Raw genomic sequence first — 25,297 nt, forward strand, 5'->3', positions numbered from 1 at the left:
ACCTCCCTGCCCACTAGGACTCCTTCTTTCTAAGCCCCTGCAGATTGGCCTGTCCTCTCCGCCCCGTCCTCTCCAGGCTCCTCCTTCGAGGGCTGGCAGGAGGAAGACTCAAGCGCTGGGCCTCTGCGGGGTGAGGGTGTGGGCGGTCAGGAGAACGGTGGCTTTGTGTAGAGGGCTAGACTGGTCGGCAGGCACCAGCTCATAGACTCTGCCCCTCCCGGTGCTTTCCCTTCCCCCTCCTGGGCCTGTGCCTCTTCAAGAATGTAACGCTGCCATCCACAAGAAATGCATCGACAAGATCATCGGCAGATGCACTGGCACCGCGGCCAACAGCCGGGACACTATAGTGAGCCTGGGTCCGGGGCAGGGCTGGGGATCTGGGGGGCTTGGCCAGATGGGAGGGATTTGCACCCTCTCCCCACCCTCCCTGGGGAGCTTACCCTCCCTCCCCATTTTTCTTAGTCTTTCCTTGCCTCTCCCAGTGGAGCTCTCTTGGGATGTTGTTGTGCCCAGGGTTGGGGGAGAGCTAGGGGTTGAAGAAGAGGCTGGAGCTGGCACGTGACCCTCAGCCTGTGATACCCCCACCTCCAGTTCCAGAAAGAACGCTTCAACATCGACATGCCGCACCGCTTCAAGGTTCACAACTACATGAGCCCCACCTTCTGTGACCACTGCGGCAGCCTGCTCTGGGGACTGGTGAAGCAGGGATTAAAGTGTGAAGGTGCGTGCCACCCCGCCCCTGGGCTGCAGGAGGGGCACTCCCAGCTGGTGCTGCTGTGAATTCCAGCCACCTCACGCCACCCTCGCCTCCTCACCTGGAGACGGGCACCTCATTCAGGGACCTGATGAGGGTGAGGCCTTGGTGGACCCTCCCCACTGGCCTGACTGGCTCTGCCACTTACCTGCTGTGTGACCACAGGTGGGCGGCTCCACCCCTCTGAGCCATTTGGAGGAGAAAAGCAGGACCTAGAGAGTCCCTGTGAGGGGCCAGTGGGCAGAGGGTGCTGAAGCCAGGCCTGGTGCACACCGACAGGCGCCCAGACAGGCCTCCCCTGCCCTCTGCTTCACTTAGAGATGAGACAGAAGACCCTGGAGGGAAAGCGGCTTAAGTTGACCAGATGTTCTTTAAAGGGTTTCGAATTAGGTCCCTGTCTTCTGGTTTTTCCTTTTTCTTTAAATCATGAAAGATTGGCTGGGCGCGGTGGCTCACGTCTGTAATCCCAGCACTTTGGGAGGCCGAGGCGGGCGGATCATGAGGTTAGGAGATCGAGACCATCCTGGCTAACATGGTGAAACCCTGTCTCTACTAAAAAAATACAAAAAAATTAGCCTGGCGTGGTGGCGGGCGCCTGTAGTCCCAGCTGCTCGGGAGGCTGAGGCAGGAGAATGGCGTGAACCCAGGAGGCAGAGCTTGCAGTGAGCCGAAATCATGTCACTGTACTCCAGCCTGGGTGACAGAGTGAGACTCCGTCTCAACAACAACAACAACAACAACAACAACAACAACAAAAATCATGAAAGATTGAAATGCTTGGCCGGGCGTGGTGGCTCACACCTGTAATCCCAGCACTTTGGGAGGCCGAGGCAGGTGGATCACCTGAGGTGGGGAGTTCGAGACCAGCCTGGCTAACATGGAAAAACCCCGTCTCTACTAAAAATACAAAATTAGCCGGATATGGTGGCGCATGCCTGTAATCCCAGCTACTCAGGAGGCTGAGGCAGGAGAATCCCTTGAACCCAGGAGGCAGAGGTTGCGGTGAGCCGAGATTGCGCCACTGCACTCCAGCCTGGGCAATAAGAGGGAAACTCCATCTCAAAAAAAAAAAAAAAAGAGAGAGAGAGAGAGAGATCGAAGTATTTATGATGGCTTCAGATCAATGTTTTCCTAGAAACTGGAACCCAGCAGACCCCACTGAAGCCCTCCTTTCTCTTGCTCTCCTGCGCCTCTCCTACACTGCCCCCTGCCCTTGGCTGAGCTCTGAGACTGACAGCCCCGCTTCTCCCTCACCCCAGACTGCGGCATGAATGTGCACCATAAATGCCGGGAGAAGGTGGCCAACCTCTGCGGCATCAACCAGAAGCTTTTGGCTGAGGCCTTGAACCAAGTCACCCAGGTGGGCAGGTGCCATGGGGACCCTGGACACAGGGCAGTGGGGTCAGGGACAGTCAAGGCTTACAGCCACTGCTGGGGAGCCACAGACAGCCAGGATATATTTAGACCCAGGACTCTACTTCGGGAAGATGCAACTCAAGAATTTAGGCAGCAGAGGGAGGGGGGCTTTTTTTCATAAGAAATTCATTATTCAGGCAGTTCTTTACTTGAGGGTGAACCTGGGGACCACAGGAGTGGGTGTTGGAACACTTTGAACTAAGACTTTGGGTGTGGACGTTTGTATGTGGGGGGGGCTTGAGGGATGCCACAAAACCTAAAGGTAAAATTTTAGAATCAATCAGAAATGAAGCTAAATAGTCAAATAAAATCTATCGAGTGAGTGGTTGGGAAGGTAGGGTTCCGTTTACAAAACTTCTGTTTGTAATCAGAGCCTTTCAGACCACCAAGGCTTCTCTGGGCTCCTGGAAGAGTGCGTGTGTGTACACGCAGCCCGAGTAGGGGGCCTGGGCTGTGCCCCTGTTGTCTCCTCTTGGTGTTAAGGGTGGAGTTATACCTGGGAGTCTTCCTTCTGGGCTGGGAGTTCTGATAATGGTCTGACCATCTGGCCCCCCACCTCTGCTCCCTCCCCAGAGAGCCTCCCGGAGATCAGACTCAGCCTCCTCAGAGCCTGTTGGGATATATCAGGGTTTCGAGAAGAAGACCGGAGTTGCTGGGGAGGACATGCAAGGTGAAGCTGGGTCCATTGCCCCATTACGGTTTTTATTCCCCCTGAGGCCAAAGAAAGGGGACTGTCCTCCCTTCCATTGTCAAGTGAGACATGGAAGGAACCACCGGTCCTGGGGAGCGAGCCCCTTCCTCTCTGAGGCCCCTTCCCCCAGCCTACCCCAGGCCCCGGGGGAGGGGAGTTGTGTAGACTGAGACCCCGATCTGAGGAGGTGCCATCTCTCGGGCAGACAACAGTGGGACCTACGGCAAGATCTGGGAGGGCAGCAGCAAGTGCAACATCAACAACTTCATCTTCCACAAGGTCCTGGGCAAAGGCAGCTTCGGGAAGGTGAGGGCTGTGAGCCGGGCACCTGCTTCCCACCCCACCCTGGCTTCTTCCCGCTTAGGTGGCTGAGGTGGGAGTCTGTGAATCGGGCTGTGGCCCCTGCCCCGTCCTCACCTGCTCAGCACCCGTGTCTCCCCATCAGGTGCTGCTTGGAGAGCTGAAGGGCAGAGGAGAGTACTTTGCCATCAAGGCCCTCAAGAAGGATGTGGTCCTGATCGACGACGACGTGGAGTGCACCATGGTTGAGAAGCGGGTGCTGACACTTGCCGCAGAGAATCCCTTTCTCACCCACCTCATCTGCACCTTCCAGACCAAGGTGCCCGGGCCTCCTGCCGTCACCACCCCATGCCACAGCCATGTCCCACAGCTCCTCAGCCCCCCTCAGTCAGGGCTGTGTCTCCCCTTCAGGCCACTTAAGGCAGGGCCATGCTTTCCCCCCTCATGCCTCCCAGGGCAGAGTCGTCCACCTCAGCCAGGGCCTGTCCCTGCTGTTTCCTGTTGGGGCTTGGCCCCAGTGGCCCTCAGTGAGGGAGCCTCCTGCCTATTCCTCACCCCTGCTCACCACCCTTCCCACCCCAGGACCACCTGTTCTTTGTGATGGAGTTCCTCAACGGGGGGGACCTGATGTACCACATCCAGGACAAAGGCCGCTTTGAACTCTACCGTGCCACGTACGTAAGGGCCATGGTGGGGAAGGGCCCAGTGTGGAGGAAGGGCTACTGGCTCAGAGCCCACTTCCAGTCTGCCCTCCATGCCTTCTTCCCTCTCCCTAGAAAAGCCAGCCTGGGCTAGAGCGGCAACTGGGGAGATGTGGGGGTAGCCTGGGTCGGCACCACACAGGAAGCCATGGGTGGCAAGTGAACTGCGGCTGGGTGCGCAGCGCAAATACTCTGGGTCCTGGCCGCTCCGTGGGCCACAGCCAGGGCAGCCTTGCAAATGGTGGTCCTGCATGACACAGGACACAGGACCCTGGTGCGTGGCCCCCAGACCTGCTTCTCCCCATTCACATGCCCCTTACCCCAAACTAACCGTGTATGTGTGTGTGTGTGTGTGCATGCATGCAAACACATATGTACATGCATGTAAATGCATACACTCTTAGAGAATTGGCTCACTGAGAGCTTTCCCTTCAGAACTTTCTGCCTGGGCTGCCAGCCCCCACTTGCCTGATACAAGATGTACTTGATCATGCTCAGGTGGTCCATGGAGTTATTTGCAGCATTTCTTGCTCCTGGAAGTGGGGTTGAGGGCCCGAGGAGAAGCAGAGGCTGCTCGGCAGAGATCCCGGAACACTTTATCCCTCTCTCTTGCCCAGGTTTTATGCCGCTGAGATAATGTGTGGACTGCAGTTTCTACACAGCAAGGGCATCATTTACAGGTGCGGGGGTGAGGGCAGCGGGGGCTCTTGGGAGGGGAGGCTCCAGCCCCATCATATCTTCTGAAATGCTCCAAGCAGGATCCCCCCAACTCCAGTTCCTTCTCTGCTGGAAATCAATCTTTAGCTGGGTATTTGCCTATGCCTCCCACCCTGGTGTTAGCATTCCTGTGGCCACCATTTGAGGCTGGCTCAGCTTCAGGAACTAGGAACTCACTGCTCATATTTGACACCATCGCCCCACCCATCCTTGGAGCCGTCAGTCTCGCTCTGAAGCCCCATCGAGTCATCTAAGCTTCTGCCAGAAGGGACTCCTTCCATAAAGTCTCATCTAATAAGTTATGATTCCATCCTATGGTGGGAACTGTACACCCACCAAAAAGGCTGAGGTCAGGCTCTGTATACTGATGTGGGATAATGCCAAGATATGTTGTTAAGTGGAAAAACAACCTGTGGGAAAGTGTATATCGAATATTAGCATTCAGCCTTTAAAACGTGGGAGGGAGACTGAGCGCGATGGCTCACGCCTGTAATCCCAGCACTTTGGGAGGCCAAGGTGGGCAGATCACCCGAGGTCAGGAGTTCGAGACCAGCCTGACCAACATGGTGAAACCCTGTCTCTACTAAAAAATACAAAAGTTAGCTGGGCATGGTGGTGGATGCCTGTAATCTCAGCTACTCAGGAGGCTGAGGCAGGAGAATTGCTTGAACCCGGGAGGCGGAGGTTGCAGTGAGCTGAGATCATGCCACTGCACTCCAGCCTGTGTGACAGAATGAGACTGTGTCTCAAAAAAAAAAAAAAAAAAAAAAAAAAAGGTGGGAGCGAGCTGCATGCTGCCATATGCTTGTCCACGCCTAGAATTGCTCTAAGGAGAGCCTCATGATTGAGCTCAGTGGAAGGTAGACTTTGTACTGTTTGCCATTTCTAGTTCCCATATGCATTAAGTATATACTCAAATGACTAATTACTAAATATAGACATGGTCTCTGCCTGTGGGAAGTAGACAAACCTGAACCTGGGGGTCACTTCTGCTGCTGACTGCTAGGGGACCCTGGGCGAGTGACATCACCTGTTTGAGCCCCATTTGGGCTTCAGGAAGTAGGGCAGTGTATGCCCAGCGTTTAGCACACAGTAGGGGACTTGCAAGAAGCACCTGTTTTTAGGATCTCTTTCTCCTTCTGCTTCCTTTTCTGTTTCTCATTCCCTTGTACCCTTGGGGACAGTCCTGGACTAATACGGCTGAAAATTAGGACATGGGGGGCAGGGTTGGAAGGAGAAGAAATGTCCCCTGCTGACTCTTACCTGTCCCCTGTCCTTAGGGACCTCAAACTGGACAATGTGCTGCTGGACCGGGATGGCCACATCAAGATTGCCGACTTTGGGATGTGCAAAGAGAACATATTCGGGGAGAGCCGGGCCAGCACCTTCTGCGGCACCCCTGACTATATCGCCCCTGAGGTGAGCCGATACCCTTCCAGCCCCCCGCTCAGTCAGGCACCTTGCCTCCCCACGGTGGGCCAGGGAAGGATTCCCAAGGGCAGTGATGTCCAAGCCAAAGCCCATAGGCTGAGGCGGCCTGGCTAGGCTTCGTGCCCAGGGGCCCCTCTCAGCCTCAGCACCTCAGCTCCTGCTGACCTGCTGCTCTCCCCACCGCCAGATCCTACAGGGCCTGAAGTACACATTCTCTGTGGACTGGTGGTCTTTCGGGGTCCTTCTGTACGAGATGCTCATTGGCCAGTCCCCCTTCCATGGTGATGATGAGGATGAACTCTTCGAGTCCATCCGTGTGGACACGCCACATTATCCCCGCTGGATCACCAAGGAGTCCAAGGACATCCTGGAGAAGGTGGAGGCCCTGGGCTGGGCTGGGCTGGTCTGGGCTGGGCTGGGGCAGGGGCTGGCAGACACTGGGCTTTGGGTGAGGAGCTTCCTGTCTCTGGAATGGCAGCCTCAGTGGTGCTGCAGTCCTAACATACGGGGTATTGCTCTCTCACCATGTTCCCAGGAACTCCTGTCTGAGTCCTGTGCATAGAATCAGCCTGACATGGTGACTAAGGGCCCAGGGTCAGGAGACAGACCCGAGGCCAAATGCTGGCTCTGCCTGGGACTAGCTGGTCACTTAACCTCTCAGAGTTTGTCTCCTTATCTGTAAAATGGGGCTATGAGCAGACTTGACTCACAGAGTTGTTGGGAAGAAAATAGAAACATATGATGCTCAGCTGTGGGCCAGGCAGATAGTAAATAATAAAAAGTTCCACCAGCAGAGTCGCAGATGTCCAGCCCAGAGCCTGTCATCTCCGGGGGAGCTGGGAGCACTGCAGGCCAGAGTGGCCTCCCTCAGCCCCACCGTTCCCCAGGCTGACTGGGGCTGGGGCAAGCCTGGCTTTGCATCCCTGGGCCTGCTGGGGATTTGCTGAAGCTCCAATTTCCCATGGCCCTTGGGTGCTAACCAGGGTCCCTGCTGGGTTGCAGCTCTTTGAAAGGGAACCAACCAAGAGGCTGGGAGTGACCGGAAACATCAAAATCCACCCCTTCTTCAAGACCATAAACTGGACTCTGCTGGAAAAGCGGAGGTTGGAGCCACCTTTCAGGCCCAAAGTGGTATGTGATCCTGCCCTGTGCTGCCTTCAGGCTGAGCTACTCCTCTCCTGCCCTCCCTCTCTCCTGCATCATTCACACGCTTTCCACCTCTCCCTTCTTCCAGCAATCTCCATAGCATGTTCAGTCACAGCCGCTGCCCTTGTATTCTCATCCTCTCCCTCCTGACTCAGTCATTCAGCACACACTGGGGACTGTGGATCCCACTGTATGCAGAGGACCCTGTTTTGGGAAATAGAGTTAAGACCTCACTTTATCGCTCCATTCAATCCATTTTCCAATACATATGGGGAATCCTGAGTCCCTGTTGAATGCAGAGCACAGTGCTGGGCTGCACAGCAAAGTGGGAGATGCAGTCCCAGAACCGGAGGAGCTCTCAGCTAGTTGGAGAGATAAGAAACTTGCACACCTATGACAATTTGTGATACGAGATGACAGTATAAGAGATGCCCCAGGACACATGATCCGTTGCTATTGAGTGGGTCTGTCAGCAGGAACCCAGGTGGCAGAGAAGAGGGTGGGTCTGAGAGGCCCCGTTGGAAGAAGTGAGACAAGGGACAGCTGGGAGGCATTCCAGGTGGAAGAGGGGCTGGTTCACTCACAGGCCCAGAATCTACAGGGCTACCAAGGAACCAGCCTGAGAGCAGAGGCAGGTGGGGCCACTAAGAAATTTGGGGCTGTGTGGCCCCTCTGTGACCACAGTTCTTCCTTCCCACTCCCCTTCTGTCCTTTGATTCCCCTCCTCCACCAGGGCACACAGTTCCCACTGGGCAGCCTGTGTAATGCGCCCCACATTTGTGCTTTGAGGCTACAGAGCACTTCCCCTACACCAGGGACCTCAAACTCAGACGTGTCCTGGCTGAGCATGTAACTGACAGGCTAGGCCAGCTGCAAGAAAATCACACAGCCTGCTTTCAGTCTCACTTTTGATAGATTTCCTTCTCCGCACTAAGAAACACAAAGCAGGTGTGATGTACCCCTTGTCAGTGGGGCAGGGGCTGTCCAGGGGGCTCTTAGCACCAAGAGTGGGCAGGAAGTGGGCCCAGGGCTGCTTTAATCTGCCAGTTTTCAAAAGAAGCTGGAAATCTGGATTTTTAGGTTGCATTGCTCAATTTTAAAATATAAGTTCAGGCCGGGCACAGTGGCCCACACCAGCACTTTGGGAGGCTGAGGCAGGCAGATCACCTGAGGTCAGGAGTTCGAGACCAGCCTGGCCAACATGGTGAAACCCCGTCTCTACTACAAAAAATACAAAAAAAATTAGCCGGGTACGGTGGTGCACACCTGTAATCCCAGCTACTCAGGAGGCTGAGGCAGGAGAATCGCTTGAACCCAGGAGGTGGAGGTTGCAGTGAGCCGAGATCGTGCCACTGCACTCCAGCCTGGGCAAGAGAGTGAGACTCCATCTCTAAATGAATAAATAAATAAAAATAAATAAATAAAATATAGGTTCAAATTCCATTAAAACCCAGTACAAGCCGAAATGATTGTACTTGCCAGTTCAGTTTGGCTGAAGGGCCACCAGCTTGCGGTCTTTCTATATTACCATCCCATCATATCCTCAGGAGCAGAGAATCAGCAAATTTCTCCTGTAAACAGCCTGATAGTATATATTTTAGGCTTTTCAGGCTTGATGGTCTCAAAGCAGGCATAGACAGTATGTCAACAAATGGGCATGGTTGTGTATTACAAAAGCTTTATTTATGGAAAGTGAAATTTGAATTTCACCTAATTTTCATGTCATGAAATATTTTTCTTTTGATTTTTTTTCCAACCATTTAAAAATGTGAAAGCCATTCTTAGCTTGTGGTCCCCACAAAAACAGGTGGTAAGTGAGCCTCCCTGGGCTGTGATTCGGTGGTCTCTGAGCAAGAGGCTACCACCTCTCCTAACCCAGGCCCAGAGCTCCCTGGTCACTTTCCTCATCCTCTTGGGGAAATGGCAGCCTCCTTCCCATGGGGCTCCTTTCAGGCTGCTAGGGGAGGCTCTGTCTTCTGTTCTGGGTGAGGACAGCTCTGGCCTGGCCCAGCCCTGCAGGGACTCCAGCCTGGGGTGTCTGGAGGGCCATTCCCTAGGTCCTGTTCGCTCACCCCTGCCCTCTGCTTGTAGAAGTCACCCAGAGACTACAGTAACTTTGACCAGGAGTTCCTGAACGAGAAGGCGCGCCTCTCCTACAGCGACAAGAACCTCATCGACTCCATGGACCAGTCTGCATTCGCTGGCTTCTCCTTTGTGAACCCCAAATTCGAGCACCTCCTGGAAGATTGAGGTTCCTGGACAGATCAGGCTAGCCCTGCCCTCCACCCACACCTGCCCGCTCCCCACGATAAGCACCAGTGGGACTGTGGTGACTTCTGCTGCTGGCCCCGCCCCTGCCCCCAGAGCGTCCTTGGCTGCCGTCTGGCCGGGCTCTCATGGTACTTCCTCTGTGAACTGTGTGTGAATCTGCTTTTCCTCTGCCTTCGGAGGGAAATTGTAAATCCTGTGTTTCATTACTTGAATGTAGTTATCTATTGAAAATATATATTATATACATAGACATATATATATATATAATAGGCTGTATATATTGCTCAGTAGAGAAAAACCATGGGGGACTGGTGATATGTTGATCTTTTTCAAAAAAATATATATATGACAAAAAAAAAAAAAAAGGAGCACAAGCTGTTTGAACCACCAGGTTTATTTGTGTGTCTAAATAAACACCAAATAGTACCAACCTGGTTGTCAGGACACGTTTGTCCCAGGAAGCTGGTGGTGGCCACTCCCACTTTTGGCAGCACTGGCCCGGAAGCCAACTGCTGGGCCTTCATGCAAATGTGTTTGTATTTATGGGTTTCCTCTGGCCCCAGGACCCTGGGCCTAAGGCAGACAGCTTTTCTGGGTGGCGACAGGGAGCCCCAGATGTCTCTGTGGGGTGATGGGACCAGCTGTAGCTGTCTCTGGAAGGGCAGAGAAGTAGAAGACATGAGCAGAGGCTTTGAGGCTGGCTCCAGATGAGGGAGGAGGACAAGGGAGAGGAAGAAAATACAGCTCAGGCTTCAAGCATATCTGGATTTAAATCACAGAGTAGCCAAAGGATGTGGGCACGTCACTTGATCATTTTAAGCCTCAGTATTGGGTGGGCGTGGTGGCTCACACCTATAATCCTAGCCCTTTGGGAGGCTGAGGTGGGAGGTCTGTGTGAGCCCAGGAGTTTGAGACCAACCTGGACAACATAGCGAGACCCTGTCTCTTTAAAAAAAAAAAAAGAAGAAGAAGAAGAAAAAGAAGGAGAAAAAGGCTCAGTTTCCTCTAAAATGGGGACAAGGCAAGGAGACCATAGCTGTAACTCCTCATCTCATTACCATTTATCCCTGCCTTTGCCGCAGAGGAGTCTGTGTCTAAATTCTAGAATCTATATCATAGCAGCTTTTGCCTACCTGGGGAAGGAGAGACAGGCAGGGTGGGAGAGAAAGGTGGAAAAATGCTGAGTGACTGGGCCAAGGTTGACAGACATGCTCCAGTGTGCCTGTCGTGCAGGTGAGGAATGGCTCCAGGAGACCAGGAGGTGCCGGCATCCCCCCAAGAGTGCACAGCTGGAGACAGTGTGTCTGCTCTGCCCTCCTCCCCACCGTTTCCATGTCTCCCCCTCTCCTGGCTTTTCATTGCTTCCGCCTCCCTCGCTACCTCTCCCTCTTTCTGTTCCCGCCCTGCTGTCTGGGACACCGGTCTCAGGCAGAGCCTGCTCTTCAGCCCCTCTGGTCCAGCCCTGGCCCTCTGTCCCTAGAGGGGGGCGAGGCACTCCTAGCACCGGATTGGCTGGCCTGGGCAGCCAAGCAACTGACTTCCAGCAAGTTCATTTTTCTGGGCTGAGGTACAAGTTTCCACAACCGGAGAGGGTGGGATGGTATGGGGCTGGTGCTGGCCCAGGGAGGGGGCTGCAGGGATGGGGGCCAAACTCTCCCCAAAGAGACCAAATGTCCCCTTCTCCTCCCCACCTCCTATCTTCTCAAGGAACCTTCCTCTTGAATTCCTGCTCTGCCTTGGGCCAGCCTGGGTGTCCAGGACAGCAGGGAAAACCTCAGAAAGTGCTTGTCCTGTGGGATCACACGTGGAGGAACTGGCAGCATGGCATAGGCTCTGTTCTGGGACACTGGGGCTGTAGGAGCCCAGAGGAGGTGCCTGGAGACCCCCTGTTCCCTGCCTCTGCCACAACACACACATTCCCCAAGAACCCTCATGGAGCCATTCAGAGGGAGGTTAGAACAAAAACGTGGTTGGTGTCTGAACTCAGAGCCTCCCAGCGTCCTCCTGAAGCACCAAAGCGGAGCCTTGTAACTCGAGCCGTTTCCTCCCGTGTGGAACCGGGGAATAGGTTGTTTATCAGCCAGAGGCAGTGGAGGGTGGTGGGAAGAACATGGTGCCTGGAATCAGAAGCCTGGGGTTTGAATTCCACTCCGCTACCTACATACCAGGCACTCGATGAGTTCCTTCATGGGCCTCAGTTTCCTCATCTGTAAAACCAGACCATTAATCCTGCTGCCTCATGGAACTGACTCTGGCAGGCCCTTGTAGGACTGTTGGTCCACTACTCAGTGGTGCCAGGCAGAGCCCAGGAAAGGACAGGGGCTGGGCCCGTGAGGTCCACCTCAAGCAGCCCAGGACAGGAAGCAGCTGCTGGGGACACTGCCAAACTGCCTGGGAGGCTACACCATTCCAGGCCCATTCCCAGCCATTGGGTGGGTGCCAGGCTTGACCCAGCAGCCTCAGGAAATGCCTCTTAAGGCTGGGCCCTGAACCACACTTTCACTAGGACCTGGGGACCCTGAAGCAGGCAGACTGCCCTCTGCCTCCCACCTGCCAAGTAGGTATTTGAGCAGCAGCCAGCCTACCCCCGACCCTGCAAGGGCCAAACAGAGCTGGGTGCCCCATCAGTGCTGGGCCGAGCAGCATGGATACAGGAGGGCCTGGAGGCAGGAGCATGAGCTCGGCTACTAGACAGCCCTGGGTTCGAACTGTGCATGTCCCTGGTTGTGTGACCTCAGTAAATGACTTAACCTCCCAGTGCCCTAAATTCCTCTACTGTAAAATGGGGATTACCATGATGGCTGCCGTGGACTGTGATGATGTCTCTAAGTGCAGGGCATGAGCTCAGCGTGCACTAGGTGCATAGGAAACAGCAGCCACTATGACCCCGTGCCCGGGTGGGATGAAACATGCTCAGGAGAGCAGGCCTGTCCACTGCACACTGCACTTCGAGTGCAAGTCCTCTAACTGGACCGCAGGTGGGCGGTTAAATGCACCCGCCTCATGACCCAGTGGTGCCTTTCAGGCAGAGCTACCTGGGAACTTCACCCAAGGGCCCCAGAAGGCTTGCCAGGAAGCCCACCACTGCATGGATTAATGGAAAAACTGGAAGCAAGCAGAAGGCCCAGCAGCCGGGGAACTGGTTAAATACTCTCCTGGCGTGGAAAGTGGTGCAGGGCCAAGTGATCGGCAAAAAGAGACATTGAGAGAATCAAAGATGCAGCCAGATTCTACCCTGTGGTTCCACAGGCCAGCTCGTGAGGGCATCCAAGGTCTCAGGCACAGCAAAGAGCTGCAGAGATGAAGGATGGATGGAAGGATGGATGGATGAATGAATGGATGAATGAATGAATGAATGAATGAATGGACTGCCGAGACCCCAAGTCCCTTTAAGGCAGTGGCTCCCAAATTCAGCGTGTGTTGGTACCATGTCAAGTTCTAACCAGCGGGTCTCAGCCCTGGCTGTCACTGGAAGCCGATGCCAGGCTGCCCTGGTCTACTTACTCGGTGATCTGTGGAGGGCCGGGCATCAGTACTTTGAAAGCTGCCCCTGCGGTCCCACCTGCGCAGAGCCAGTTGGGGAATCTGCATTTTGCCCAGTCATCCTGGTGAAGCCAGAAAATGCTACTCTGAACAGGCCACACCCTGGAAGGCGAAGTCACCTGCCTGTATGGCCCAGTCTTGGCCCGCAGAGGCCCGAGCATCCCCTCCACAACCTGCGCCCCGCCTGCGCAAGGACCACGGGCGGAGGGTTGGTGGCTAGGGAAGAACGGTGCGGAAAGCACGCGGCCCCAGCTGGGCTACAGCGCCCTCTGGCGGCCAGAAGGCTCGCGGGCGCTGAGGCCGCAGACCCCAGGAGGGGAGGACCCCCGTGGAAGGGAGCGCCGGCTTTCTCACTTCGTGTCACTACTCCCTGGGGAAATATTTCAATAAAGAGGTACTGGGTGACCATTTTGGAGAGGTTCAGAGACGTGGAGGTTACAGCTAGACAGCCCCCTGGTATTTTTAGGATCTCCGGACCGCCCTAAATTCAACCATTCCAACGTCACAGCCACATTCCCCCATTTATTATTAATTTATTTAGAGACAGGGTCTTGACCTGTCACCCAGGCTGGGGTGCAGTGGTGCCATCACAGCTCACTGCAGCCTCGACCTCCTGGGCTTGTCAAGCAATCCTCCCACCCTCAGCCTCCCGAGTAGCTAGGACCACAGGCATGTACCACCCTGCCTGGCTAATTTTGTATTTTTGGTAGAGTTGGGGTTTCACCATGTTACCCAGACTGGTCTCAAATTCCTGAGCTCAAGCAATCCTCCCACCTCGACCTCCCAAAGTGCTGTGATTACGGGCGTGAGCCACCGTGCCCATGAGCTCACCATGCACCTGCCCCTTCCTCGGCCTCCCTCAAAGCTGGATGGGATCTTCAGCTCCCCCCTGCACCCTGACTGTGCCCAGCACGTGATCCCGGACGACTGTGGTGTCAGAGGCTGGGGAGCTGGTTGTGGTTTCCTGAGTGCTGACCATCCTCCCAGGCACTTTATCTCCTTAGGCTGGGGCAGGGGGAGATACATGCAGCTGAAAATACAAGACCTGGCAGCAAAGGAAAGGAATGGGGACAAAGGCCCCCAAAGGTGAGAGCCAGGCCTGAGTCAGCACAGCCCAGATCAGGCCAGACATGTGAGGTTTGGGGCACTCCTTGAGTCTGGTCGTCAGATTGAATCAGCCCTTCACATAGCCTCAGTGATTTAAGTCTTCAGAACTTGAACGCCAGTTCCTAAATCAGGCTTCTTAAGTGGGGCTTAGAAGATTGATATGGTTTGGCTGTGTCCTTACCTAAATCTCATCCTGAACTGTAGTTCCCATAATCCCCTGGTATCGTGGGAGAGACCCAGTGGGAGGTAATTGAATCATGGGGGCGGTTACCTCCATGCTGTTCTCATGACAGTGAGTTCTCACGAGATTGGATGGTTTTATAAGGGACATTCCCCGCCCCCCCCAACTTCACTCTGCACTTCTCCTTGCTGCCGCCACGTGGAGGACGTGTTTGCTTCACCTTCTGCCATGATTGTAAGTTTCCTGAGGCCTCCCCAGCCATGCAGAACTGTGAGTCAATTAAAACTCCTTTATAAATTATCCAGTCTCAGGTATGTCTTTATTTTATTTTATTTTTTATTTATTTATTTTTTTGAGATGGAGTCTCACTCTGTCACCAAGGCTAGAGTGCGATGGCGCGATCTTGGCTCACTGCAACCTCCACCTCCCAGGTTCAAGTGATTCTCCTGCCTCAGCCTCCTGAGTAGCTGGGATTACAGGCATCTGCCACCACGCCTGGCTAATTTTTGTATTTTTGTAGAGATGGGGTTTCACCATGTTGGCCAGGCTGGTCTTGAACTCCTGACCTCAGGTGATCCTACAGCTGTGGCCTCCCAAAGTGCTGGGATTACAGGCGTGAGCCACCGTGCCCGGCCTTATTTATTTATTTAGAGACAGAGTCTTGCTCTGTCTCCCAGGCTGGAGTGCAGTGGTGCAATTTTGGCTCACTGCAACCTCCGCCTCCCAGGTTCAAGCCATTCTCCTGCCTCAGCCTCCTAAGTAGCTGAGATTACAGGCACCTGCCAGCACGTCTGGCTAATTTTTGTATTTTTAGTAGAGATGGGGTTTCACTATGTTGGCCAGGCTGGTCTCGAATTCCTGACCTGAGGTGATCTGCCTGCCTCGGCCTCCCAAAGTGCTGGGATTACAGGCATGAGCCACTGAACCTGGCCGATATGTCTTTATTAGCAGTGTGAGAACAGACTAATACAAAGACTCCTAATTTCTTCTCTGTCTCTGTCCTGAAATACATAACTCTGAAAGCCCTGACATTTGCTGCTCAGCCCACATTAAGTACTGGATAAAGCTCAGAGCTTTGGGGAAGGTACTTTTCCTTTTTCTTCTTAGGAGAGGGGAGTTTAGCTTTCTATCAGTTTCACCTGGGGTGGTAGATGCAGGAGCTGTGAGTAGGGTGGGCAGTGCTGCGCTCTGTTCCCAAATTTGTATATTCCTTCATGGAACAGGTGGCTGCTGTGTGCCAGGACCTTGACGAGCATCACTCAACAGGCATGACTGTGCCTGGCACTCATGGTGTGTGGCCTGAGAGCCCATGTCAGAACACCCTGGGACAAGCACTGTGCTTGATGCTTTTCCTGCATGGTTGCCTGCAGTTCGTCGTCACAACAGCCCCGTGAGGAAACGGCTGGGACTCTCTCCTTTTACCGGTGAGCAAACCCAGGCTCTGAGAGGTTGAGTGATGTGGCCTACAGCTCTGGAATGGGGGCTCCTTCCATCTGCGAGTTGGTTCCCTTGTCATGTTTCCTGTAGAGACAACAGGACATTCTCCCTTCTTTTCCTGGGCTTGCTCAGGAACTGTCAGAGAACACGAGGGCTCCCTACCCTGGTCCTGTCCTCAGAGGGTCCAATAAGAGAGAAGTGAGCCAGTGGCAGGCAGGGACAGCAGAGGGCAGCAACGATGGGCACAGGCAGGCTGACTTGGAGCTGGAAGGACCCTTGGAGATTATGGGTCTGTAGTGAGGATATCCATGGATTCACAGTGGGGAAGCTGAGGCCAGAGAGGAGAAGGGGTTGGGCCAGGGTTGCACAGGAAGGTAGTGGCAGGGATGCAGGGAGACCCTCAAAGAGAACAGCCAGCTGGTCCCCAACATGCTACCTCCTAGAGGGCAGAATCCTGACTCAGTGTCCTTTGCACCCACTGCAAGCCCACAGTGAGCCCAGCACGTGGTGTGTGGCCAGTCAGTGTTGAGGAATGAGCACAGGTGAGTGAATACCGAGTGTCCACTGAGTGCTCGCTTCACCCCAGCACAGCCTGCCTCTCATTCTCTTTTCCCCTCCCCTGCTCTGGTATGAGGAGGGACAAGGATAAGAAGTAGGTAAAGTTAGGAGTGGCCTCTAGTGCTGCCTGTGGCACTAACGGTGGCAGATAACCAAAGCCCAAGGCCTTAGAGTTCATGTCCTCCAGCAGGTGGGTGGTGGAGGCCAGCCGCCCCAGCCGAGGGTGGGGACCCGGCTCAAGAGCAGGGCAGTGGCTGGGCATGGTGGTTCATGCCTGTAATCTCAGCACTTTGGGAGGCTGAGGCGGGCAGATCACTTGAGGTCAGGAGTTTGAGACCAGCCTGGCCAATATGGCAAAACCCCATCTCTACTAAAAATACAAAAAAAAAAAAAATTAGCCAGGCATGGTGGCAGGCGCCTGTAATCCCAGCTACTTGGGAGGCTGAGGCAGGAGAATCCCTTGAACCCAGGAGGCAGAGATTGCAGTGAGCCAAGATCGTGCCACTGCACTCCAGCCTGGGCGACAGAGTGAGACTCTGTCTCAAAAAAGGCAGCAGCAGGAGGACCCAGCCCATTAGGCAGCCCACTGCCATCAGTAGCATTGGCAAGACCTCTCCAAGCCACTTTCTGTGTTGTAAATCATGAGTTGAGAAACAGTTAAGCCAATTTAGACACACTTTGCATGAATAATATGTTAAAAATAATATGCTTCACAAAATATTTGCATTGAATCAAAAATGAATTTTGTTAGCTTAATTGTTCTTGAATACCCTGTCCGGAAAAAAAGGTATGTTTTGAAAAAAAAGTCTTTAAACCTAGCTCACGTTTGTCAATTGCTTGATATCAAATGCCCCTGTTTATAATGGACCCATATGCATACTCTGCCTGGCATGTGCCAGGAGGTGGCAGTGCTGATGGCCAAACCATGGGACGAGGGCTCAGAGTCAGATCTGGGTCTACACCTGCCTGCCCCATCCCAGTTGTGTGGCCCTGAGCAGGCTGTTCAGCCTCTCTTAGCCTCAGTTTCCTCATCTGCAGCATGTGCATAATAGTATATGGTTGTTAAGAGGTCAATGCATGGAAAACTCATACTGCAGCCAAGCACCCAGAAATGTAAGAATGTGATTCTTAACTCCATGAACATTTTGCATGTCATCATACATGATCTCTTCATAACAATGCTGTAAGCATAAGGAATTCTGTGGGAAGGGGACACACTTTTCCTAGCATGGGAGTGGGGTACAGAGCCCTGAGTCATGAGTCAGCAGTGGGCTCCAGTCCCTGAAACAGGGGCCTTCACTCTTCCTCTCACTGTGGGCTTTGGGCCAGCAGCCAGCTCCACAGCAGAAAATGTGTCTAAGATTGGTAGGAATAGCAAGTGAGCCTCATGTGAGTTTAAATTGCGAGAAAGAAAATTTGAACGTCAAATACCCCAGTTCTCAGCACAAATTAAAATCAAACCCTAGGAAAGGCGGTAATTACCACTGTCACAAAATTCCATGGAAAGTTGCAGCAGCAGTAGAAAGAACAGCTGACACCTGCGACATGGCCCCCTTCTCTCCCCCCATTTGGTTTTACAGCCCATGCTGAGCTCCCTGCCTCCACCCTCATGATCCTCCCCAGCCTATTCCAGAGGCTCAGCTGCAGAGCCACCTGGAGACCCCCAAATGTAGCCCCTACTGGTAGCGTCTGGGGCATGAATGTGCAGGTTGAGCTGATGTTTCTTGAGCATCTACTAAGGGCAGATCTGGTACTGGAGGCTTTAGTGCATTAGTGGTCTTGACCTTGAAATGAAGGCTGGACTCATTAATTCACTCTGTGATGGCATGTTGGGGGCTCTGCAGGATGGTGGGAAGCTGACGCAATCAAGGAACAGAACTCATGCCCTCAGTTGGGAGGCAGGTGCGTAAAGACGATCACAGTACGTGGTGGTGTGGGGACGAGGGGTGCCCACAAAGGCTGTGGGCATACAGAGGCGCTGGCTCTTCCTGGGTGGGCTGTGGCAACCAGGGAAGGTCTCCTGGAAGCGGGTGAAGTAGGATGTGGGACTCGGACACTGGACCAAATTGAGGACTAGCTAAAACAGGGAGGGGGCAAGCAGTTTTCTGTAATATGCAACCGCGGGTGTGCCATGTCAGTTTACTGTTGCCACGGCAACACCCAGATGTTACCACCCTTTTCCATGGCAATGACCCAACGACCTGGAAGTTACCACTCATTTTCCTAAAGCTTTCTGCATAATCCACCCCTTAATTTGCATATAATTAAAAGTGGGTATAAATTTGACTGCAGAACTGCCTCTGCGTGGCTACTCACGGCACAGTGCCTGTGGGGTAGCCCTGCCCTGCAAGGAGCAGTGCCTCTGCTGCTGCTGCATGCTGCTGCACGCTGCCGCTTCCATAGAAATAGCTGTCCTCCAGGTGCGGTGGCTCACACCTGTAATCCCAGCACTTTGGGAGGCTGAGGTGGGTGGATCACCTGAGCTCAGGAGTTCAAGACCAGCCTGCCAATATGGTGAAACCCCGTCTCTATTAAAAATACAAAAACACAAAAATTAGCCAGGCGTGGTGGTGGGCACCTGTAATCCCAGCTACTTGGGAGGCTGAGGCAGGAGAACCATTTGAACCCAGAAGGCAGAGGTTGCAGTGAGCCAAGATTGTGCCACTACACTCCAGCCTGGGCAACAAAGGGAGACTCTGTCTCAACAAAAGAAATTGCTGCCTAACACCACTGCTTGGCCTTGGATTCTTTTCTGGGTAAAGCCAAGAACCCTCCGAGGCTAAGCCCCAGTTTTGAGGCTCATCTGCCCTGTATCAGGAGGAACATGTAATCCTGAGACCCAAAGAATGAGTAGCTCTCACAGTCAGTCTGGCAAAACTTTTCAAGTCTGATAATACCCAGTGCTGGTGGTAGGTGTAGGTGTTGGGCAGGGCGGGGTTATGGGGGAGGCACTATTCGCAGCAGTGGGAATGTAAGTTGGCCCCATTCTCCTGGAAAGTCATTTGGCACTCTGTGGGCACTGAAGACCAGCAGTGTCTCTGCTGGGGACAGCCTTGGTGGCCTCAAGAGTCACACAGATGAGGATGCTCGTTGTCTATTTTAGTCTCTGTGCTTGTCTCTGTGTTCCAAATGATCCATAATTTTTTAAAGTGTCTTTTAAAGAATATGTAGGTGTTCTGACTCTTGATCTGATGGCTGGTTACCCAGGCGTCCTTTTATAATAATTTGTTATACTGTTCTTTTGTTCTATGTGCTTTTCTTTATGGATATGACATTTCACAGTTTTTAAAAATTAGAAAGAATGAGTAGGCGAGACGCTGGGGTCAGGCAGTCTCAGGCAGAGGAAGCAGCCTGAGCAAAGCCCGGGGAGCTGGGCAAAGGCAGGGGTGTGCATGACCCTGGGAATCCTGGCCCAACAACCAGGCACCCTGGCCCAAGGACATGCGGTCCCCTGAGGAACAGCATCTCTGCTCCCACCTCTGGCTAGCCATTGGTGCAGCACCTGCACTGCCGAGGCCAGGCCTAATTTAGTCCCACTTCAGCCTGTGTGAGGCTGGATCAAAAGTGAGCTCTCAGTGAGGGGGAACCAGTAGAGGTGAGATGATGGGTTTAATAAAGTAGTTTAACCACCGCCACTGGGTGTGCTAAGAGGCGGTTGCTGTGGCCAGCAGGTGGAGGTTATAATGAGCCTGGCAGTTGTTGTTGGAGGCGGCAGGCAGTGGCTGTGCTGATGGGAGAATTCGTGGCAGTGGCAGCTTGACAACCTGTCTGGGGAGAGAGGGCGGAGCAGCGGCCACCGGTGGAGGCACGGGGGCAGCTGTGCCCACAGGGGTACTACTGATGGCTCCCCAACCAGCTCCACAGCCTTTTCCGGGGGCTTTTAGAAGGTTGGAGGAGATGGAGTACAGGCAGGGGTGGCAGGAAAGTTGTTTTTTCAGTGGAAGCCAAAGACAAACTTCAAGAGAAGAGGAAAAGTTGTTTGTTAAACTCTCTAGTGGTTTTCTGCATTGGCGATGGGAAGTCAAACCAAAGCACTGGGCTTTTGGCCTCAGCGGGGTGCTGCACCTGCAGGGTACGGAAGGGCACCTGGCATGAGGGAAAATGAGTGATTTATCTAACAAGTTGTCTTATTAGGAAAACATGGTGGCTCACTCCTCTAATCCTAGCACTTTGTGAGTTGTGATATGATTTCCAGGTGGGAGAATCACTTGAGCCCAGGAGTTCGAGATCAGCCTAGGCAACATAGTGAGACTCTATCTCTTAAAAAATTAGCCAGGCATGGTGGTCCACCTGTGGTCCCAGCTGCTTGGGAAGCTGAGGCGGGAGGATCGCTCGAGCCTGGGAGGTCAAGGTTGTAATGAGCTGTGATTGCGCCACTGCACTCTAGCCTGGGTGACAGAGTGAGACCCTCTCAAAAAAAAAAAAAAAAAAAAAAAGGCTGGGTGCGGTGGCTCATGCCTGTAATGCCAGCACTTTGGGAGGCCGAGGCGGGCAGATCACGAGGTCAGGAGTTTGAGACCAGCTTGGCCAACATGGTGAAACCTCATCTCTACTAAAAATACAAAAATTAGCCGGGTGTGGTGGCGCACGCCTGTAGTCCTAGCTACTCAGGAGGCTGAGGCAAGAGAATTGCTTGAACCCGGGAGGCGGAGGTTGCAGTGAGCTGAGCTCGTGCCACTGCACTCCAGCCTGGAATCTGTCTCAGAAGAGAAAAAAAATATCAGAAAACATTCAGACATTTAAAAAAGTATAGTGATTCTGTTCCAGATGAAGAAACAAGTAGAGATAAAATTGCAGCCCCTAGGCTGGGTGAGGTGGCTCACTCCTGTAATCCCAGCAGTTTGGGAGGCCAAGGCAGGTGGATCACCTGAGGTCAGAAATTCGAGACCAGGCTGGTCAATGTGGTGAAAATCTGTCTCTACTAAAAATACAAAAATTAGTTGGGTGTGGTGGCATGTACCTGTAGTCCCAGCTAATCAGGAGGCTGAGGCAGGAGAATTGCTTGAACCCAGGAGGTGGAGGTTGCAGTGAGCCAAGACTGCACCACTGCACTCCAGCCTGGGCCACAGAGCAACACTCCATCTCAAAAAAATAAAAAAGAAAAGAAAAAGAAAAAATAGCTGGGCACGGTGGTGGGCAGGCACCTGTAGTCCCAGCTACCTGGGAGGCTGAGGCAGGAGAATCGCTTGAGCCTGGTAGGCAGAGGTTGCAGTGAGCCAAGATTGCACCACTGCATTCCAGCCTGTGCAACAGAGCAAGACTGCATCTCAAAACAACAAGTAAATGGAATCATGTAATACGTGGTCTTTTGTGGACTGGTCAAGTGCATTTCTTTTAACGATTGAATGGCATTCCATCACATAAATTTACCACAATTTATTTATCCAAATAAATGGTGTGGAATTTTGCTTTCAGTCAAGATGGAGTAAAAAGGGGACTGTATTTTCCCTCCTGCCTGAAAAACTAAAACTCCAGACAAAATGGATGAGACAGCAGTTCTGAAGATGCTGGACATCAGGAACAAAGGACAGTGATCTGAGAGATGGGAAACGAGGGAGCTGAGCCCTGACTGCCCCAGCTCTACTGACTGCAGAGGGTCTCCAGGCTGTGGGACAGGGAGGGGGGATCCAGGTGGAGGCCAGTGGACTCCCAAGTTGAGTAGATGAAGCTGGCAGTCCAGGCAAGCCAAGGTGGCTAGAATTCACAGTGCATCCTACTGGGGACAAGAGAGCGAGAGAGAGAGAAAGAAGGAGAGAAAGAAGCCTGGAACCTGCAGAGACGCCTCCTCAAGTCTTCGCTGAGTACTGATTATTGCATGCATCTGAGGAAACCACCCAAGGCTGGGGAGAAAGCCCTCTAAATGAATTAAAGTGAACAATCCTCAGAACTCACACAGGGTTAGGAACAATGCCAGACTGGAAACTGTATAAATTTAAGGTATCACTGTTCAGAGCACCCAGAGAGGTTTTGCCTCAGTACCAGATAAAAATTAACCCGCAGCCTAGGCAACATAGCAAGACACTGTCTCTACACAAAATACAAAAATTAGCTGGGTGTGGTAGTGCATACCTGTAGTCCCAGCTACTCAGGAGGCTGAGGCAGGAGGATCACTTGATTCCAGGAGCCCAAGGCTGCAGTGAGCTCTGATTGCTACTCTACTCTAGCCTGGGCAACAGAGCAAGACCCTATCTCAAACATGAAAAAAATGTAAAATTAACCCTAGACTAAACACTGTTCTGGTCTTGCCTAACAAAGCTTAGAAGCAAGACCCAAAAGTATTAAACTATTTCCAAGAAATCATTGTAGAACTAAGCCTAAGAATATTTATGAGAACACAAAAAATATCCAGCACCCAATAAGGCAAAATTCACAATGTCTGGCACCCAATCAAAAATTGCCAGGTATTGGCCAGGCACTGGCCAGGCACAGTGGCTCATGCCTATAATCCCAGCACTTCGGAGGGACAAGGCGGGCAGATCACTTGGGGTCAGACATTCAAGACCAACCTGGCCGACATGGTGAAACCCCACCTCTATTAAAAATACAAAAATTAGCCAGGCCTGGTGACACATGCCTGTAGTCCCGGCTACTCAGGAGGCTGAGGCAGGAGAATTTGCTTGAACCAGGGAGGCGGAGGTTGCAATAGGCTGAGATCACACCACTGCACTCCAGCCTGGGTGACAGAATGAGACTCCATCTCAAAAAAAAAAAAAAAAAAAAATTTCCAGGCATTAAAAGAAATAGGAGAAATAGGCTGGGCATGGTGGCTCACACCTGTAATCCCAGCACTTTGGAAGGCCGAGGCGGGCAGATCACAAGGTCAGGAGATCGAGACCATCCTGGCTAACACAGTGAAACCCCATCTCTACTAAAAATATAAAAAATTAGCTGGGCGTGGTGGCGGGCGCTTGTAGTCCCAGCTACTCAGGAGGCTGAGGCAGGAGAATGGTGTGAACCCGGGAGGTGGAGCTTGCAGTGAGCCGAGATCGCACCAGTGCACCCCAGCCCGGGCGACAGAGCAAGACTCTGTCTCAAAAAAAAAAAAAAAAAAAAAAAGAAATAGCAATAAATTAAAACTGACCTAGAAACAACACCAATAATAGAATTAACAGACAAAGGCATTAAAACAATTATAACTATATTCCATATGTCAAAAAGTTGAGACATGGAGGATATAAAAAAGACCCAGATCACACTTGTAGAGATAAAATCTGTGATATCTGAGATAAAAAATATGCTGGATGGGATCTATAGCAGATTAGACATTATAGATGAAAAGATGAGTCAACTTGAGTACATAGTAATAAATACTATCCAAAATGAAATCTAGGAAAAAAGAATATATATATTTTTTTTGACAGAGTGGAGTCTCGCTGTGTCACCCAGGCTGGGGTGCAGCGCCGCGATCTCAGCTCACTGCAACCTCCACCTCCTGGGTTGAAGCAATTCTCCTGCCTCAGCCTCCCATGTAGCTGGGATTACAGGGGTGTGCCCGGCTAATTTTTGTATTTTTTTTTTTTTTTTTTTTTTTAGTAGAGACAGGGTTTCACTATATTGGCCAGGCTGGTCTCAAACTCCTGACTTTGTGATCTATCTGCCTCGGCCTCCCAAAGTGCTGGGATTATAGGCGTGAGCCACCGTGCCCGGCAGGAAAAAAGAATTTTTAAAAATGAACGGAGCCACCAGTGAGTGGTGGTACAATTTCGAGCAATCAAATATATTTGGAATTGGAATCACTGAAGGAGGAAGGGATGGTACAGAAAACTTGAAGAAATAATGGCAGACAATTTTCCTAATTTGATTAAAACTGTAAATCCACAGATTCAAGAAGCTCAATTAGTCCCAAGCACAATAAACACAAGGGAAACTATATCAGAGTATATCCAAATTAAATTGCCATGATAAAGAGAAAATCTTGAGGCCAGGTGCAGTGGCTCATCCCTGTTATCCTAGCACTGTGGGAAGCTAAGGCAGGAGGATCACTTGAGGCCAGGAATTCAACACCAGACTGAACAATATAGGAAAACCCTATTTCTACAAAAAATTAAAAAATTAGCCAAGCACGGAGGCATATGCCTGTAGTTCTAGCTACTCAAGAAACCGAGCCAGGAGGATTAGTTGAGCCCAGGGAGTTGAGGCTGCAGTGAGTTATGGTTGCGCCACTGCACTCCAGCCTGGGTGACAGAGTAAGACCCTGTCTCAAAAAACAACAACAAAAAAAAAAAAACACAAAGGAAAGCTTAAAAGCAGCCAGCACCCAGTAAAAAAAAAAAATCATGCTACATACAGAACAAAAATAAAGATTACAACATTACAATAGGTTTGTCTTTGGAAACAATGCAAGTTGAAGATAACGGAGTAACATCTTTAAAGTACTAATGCAAAAACCAAAACACCTGTCAACACAGAATTCTATAGCTAACAAAAATACCTTTCAGAGGCCAGGCACAGAACCCAGAATTCTATGGCTAACAAAAATATCTTTCAGAAACAAGGATCTCATAAAGGGTTTTTCAGACACCCAAAGCTGAAATCATTCATCTCCAGCATCTGTTAAAAATGTTAAACGAAGTCCCTGGGCAGAGGAAAAGTTATTCCCAATGGAAATAAAGATCTATACAAAGGAACAAAGGAGACCCAAACAGTAACTACATGCATGACTGGTGTATTAATGAAGTAATGAAGCTTCAGCAAAGTCTTATCTGAAATTGCAAAGGCAGGCAAATTTGTTCCAGAGGTCACAAGACTTAACATTCCATTATAAAAGTAAATGTTATTACTGTTACAAGAGTATACGCAAGGCAATAAAACTGATTCTGTATAAATCATGAAATTCAGGAAACCTTCAGCAGTGCATCTGTACATGAAACTTTCTCAACCACAATAATGAAGTTGTCTCGGGTTAATGTATTATCATTTGCAACTCATTTTTCCAGTTACCCACTTTATCGAACAGCCATTCCTGTGGCACCTGCCCCATATAAAACACTGTGCCTGGCTATGGGAAGAAAATAAAGATGAGCCTGTAATCCCAGGACTTTGGG

The 25,297-nt window shown here is 51.9% G+C and overlaps 1 protein-coding gene across 9 annotated transcripts in view, besides 7 other annotated features; it reads left to right on the plus strand.

Annotated features, from left to right (window-relative positions):
• PRKCD (protein kinase C delta) overlaps positions 1-9,857 on the plus strand; it is a 31,509-nt gene extending 21,652 nt beyond the window's left edge. For 8 of the 9 annotated variants that reach the window (NM_001354680.2, NM_006254.4, NM_001354679.2 and 5 more), the window contains 12 exons: positions 261-346; positions 592-721; positions 2,014-2,114; positions 2,744-2,840; positions 3,067-3,167; positions 3,307-3,480; positions 3,744-3,835; positions 4,480-4,542; positions 5,860-5,998; positions 6,198-6,386; positions 7,013-7,141; positions 9,248-9,857. In NM_001354680.2, the coding sequence (NP_001341609.1) occupies positions 261-346; positions 592-721; positions 2,014-2,114; positions 2,744-2,840; positions 3,067-3,167; positions 3,307-3,480; positions 3,744-3,835; positions 4,480-4,542; positions 5,860-5,998; positions 6,198-6,386; positions 7,013-7,141; positions 9,248-9,406 (1,460 nt within the window). In that variant the 3' untranslated portion in view covers positions 9,407-9,857. Of the gene's footprint in view, positions 1-260; positions 347-591; positions 722-2,013; positions 2,115-2,743; positions 2,841-3,066; positions 3,168-3,306; positions 3,481-3,743; positions 3,836-4,479; positions 4,543-5,859; positions 5,999-6,197; positions 6,387-7,012; positions 7,142-9,247 lie in introns of those variants that run through there. The other variant, XR_007095706.1, reaches the window with a different exon arrangement.
• Positions 5,363-5,482: an enhancer, noted in NCBI's record as "active region_19964". NCBI's record gives its function as "activates an Ori minimal core promoter by ATAC-STARR-seq in GM12878 lymphoblastoid cells {active_cell/tissue: GM12878}" and the evidence as "EXISTENCE:reporter gene assay evidence [ECO:0000049][PMID:35858748]".
• Positions 5,623-5,702: an enhancer, noted in NCBI's record as "active region_19965". NCBI's record gives its function as "activates an Ori minimal core promoter by ATAC-STARR-seq in GM12878 lymphoblastoid cells {active_cell/tissue: GM12878}" and the evidence as "EXISTENCE:reporter gene assay evidence [ECO:0000049][PMID:35858748]".
• Positions 8,109-8,238: an enhancer, noted in NCBI's record as "active region_19966". NCBI's record gives its function as "activates an Ori minimal core promoter by ATAC-STARR-seq in GM12878 lymphoblastoid cells {active_cell/tissue: GM12878}" and the evidence as "EXISTENCE:reporter gene assay evidence [ECO:0000049][PMID:35858748]".
• Positions 9,186-9,445: an enhancer, noted in NCBI's record as "active region_19967". NCBI's record gives its function as "activates an Ori minimal core promoter by ATAC-STARR-seq in GM12878 lymphoblastoid cells {active_cell/tissue: GM12878}" and the evidence as "EXISTENCE:reporter gene assay evidence [ECO:0000049][PMID:35858748]".
• Positions 11,313-11,607: an enhancer, noted in NCBI's record as "tiled region #8375; K562 Activating DNase unmatched - State 18:Pol2, and HepG2 Activating non-DNase unmatched - State 18:Pol2". NCBI's record gives its function as "activates a minimal TATA promoter and a strong SV40 promoter by Sharpr-MPRA in K562 cells, with weak activation in HepG2 cells {active_cell/tissue: HepG2 | K562}" and the evidence as "EXISTENCE:reporter gene assay evidence [ECO:0000049][PMID:27701403]".
• Positions 13,201-13,250: a silencer, noted in NCBI's record as "silent region_14462". NCBI's record gives its function as "represses an Ori minimal core promoter by ATAC-STARR-seq in GM12878 lymphoblastoid cells {active_cell/tissue: GM12878}" and the evidence as "EXISTENCE:reporter gene assay evidence [ECO:0000049][PMID:35858748]".
• Positions 19,841-20,340: an enhancer, noted in NCBI's record as "H3K4me1 hESC enhancer chr3:53236717-53237216 (GRCh37/hg19 assembly coordinates)". NCBI's record gives its function as "activates a minimal SCP1, AML or CMV promoter by ChIP-STARR-seq in naive H9 embryonic stem cells {active_cell/tissue: H9 hESC(naive)}" and the evidence as "EXISTENCE:reporter gene assay evidence [ECO:0000049][PMID:30033119]".

The sequence above is a fragment of the Homo sapiens genome, chromosome 3 (assembly GCF_000001405.40).
Source record: "Homo sapiens chromosome 3, GRCh38.p14 Primary Assembly".
NCBI lineage: Eukaryota > Metazoa > Chordata > Mammalia > Primates > Hominidae > Homo > Homo sapiens.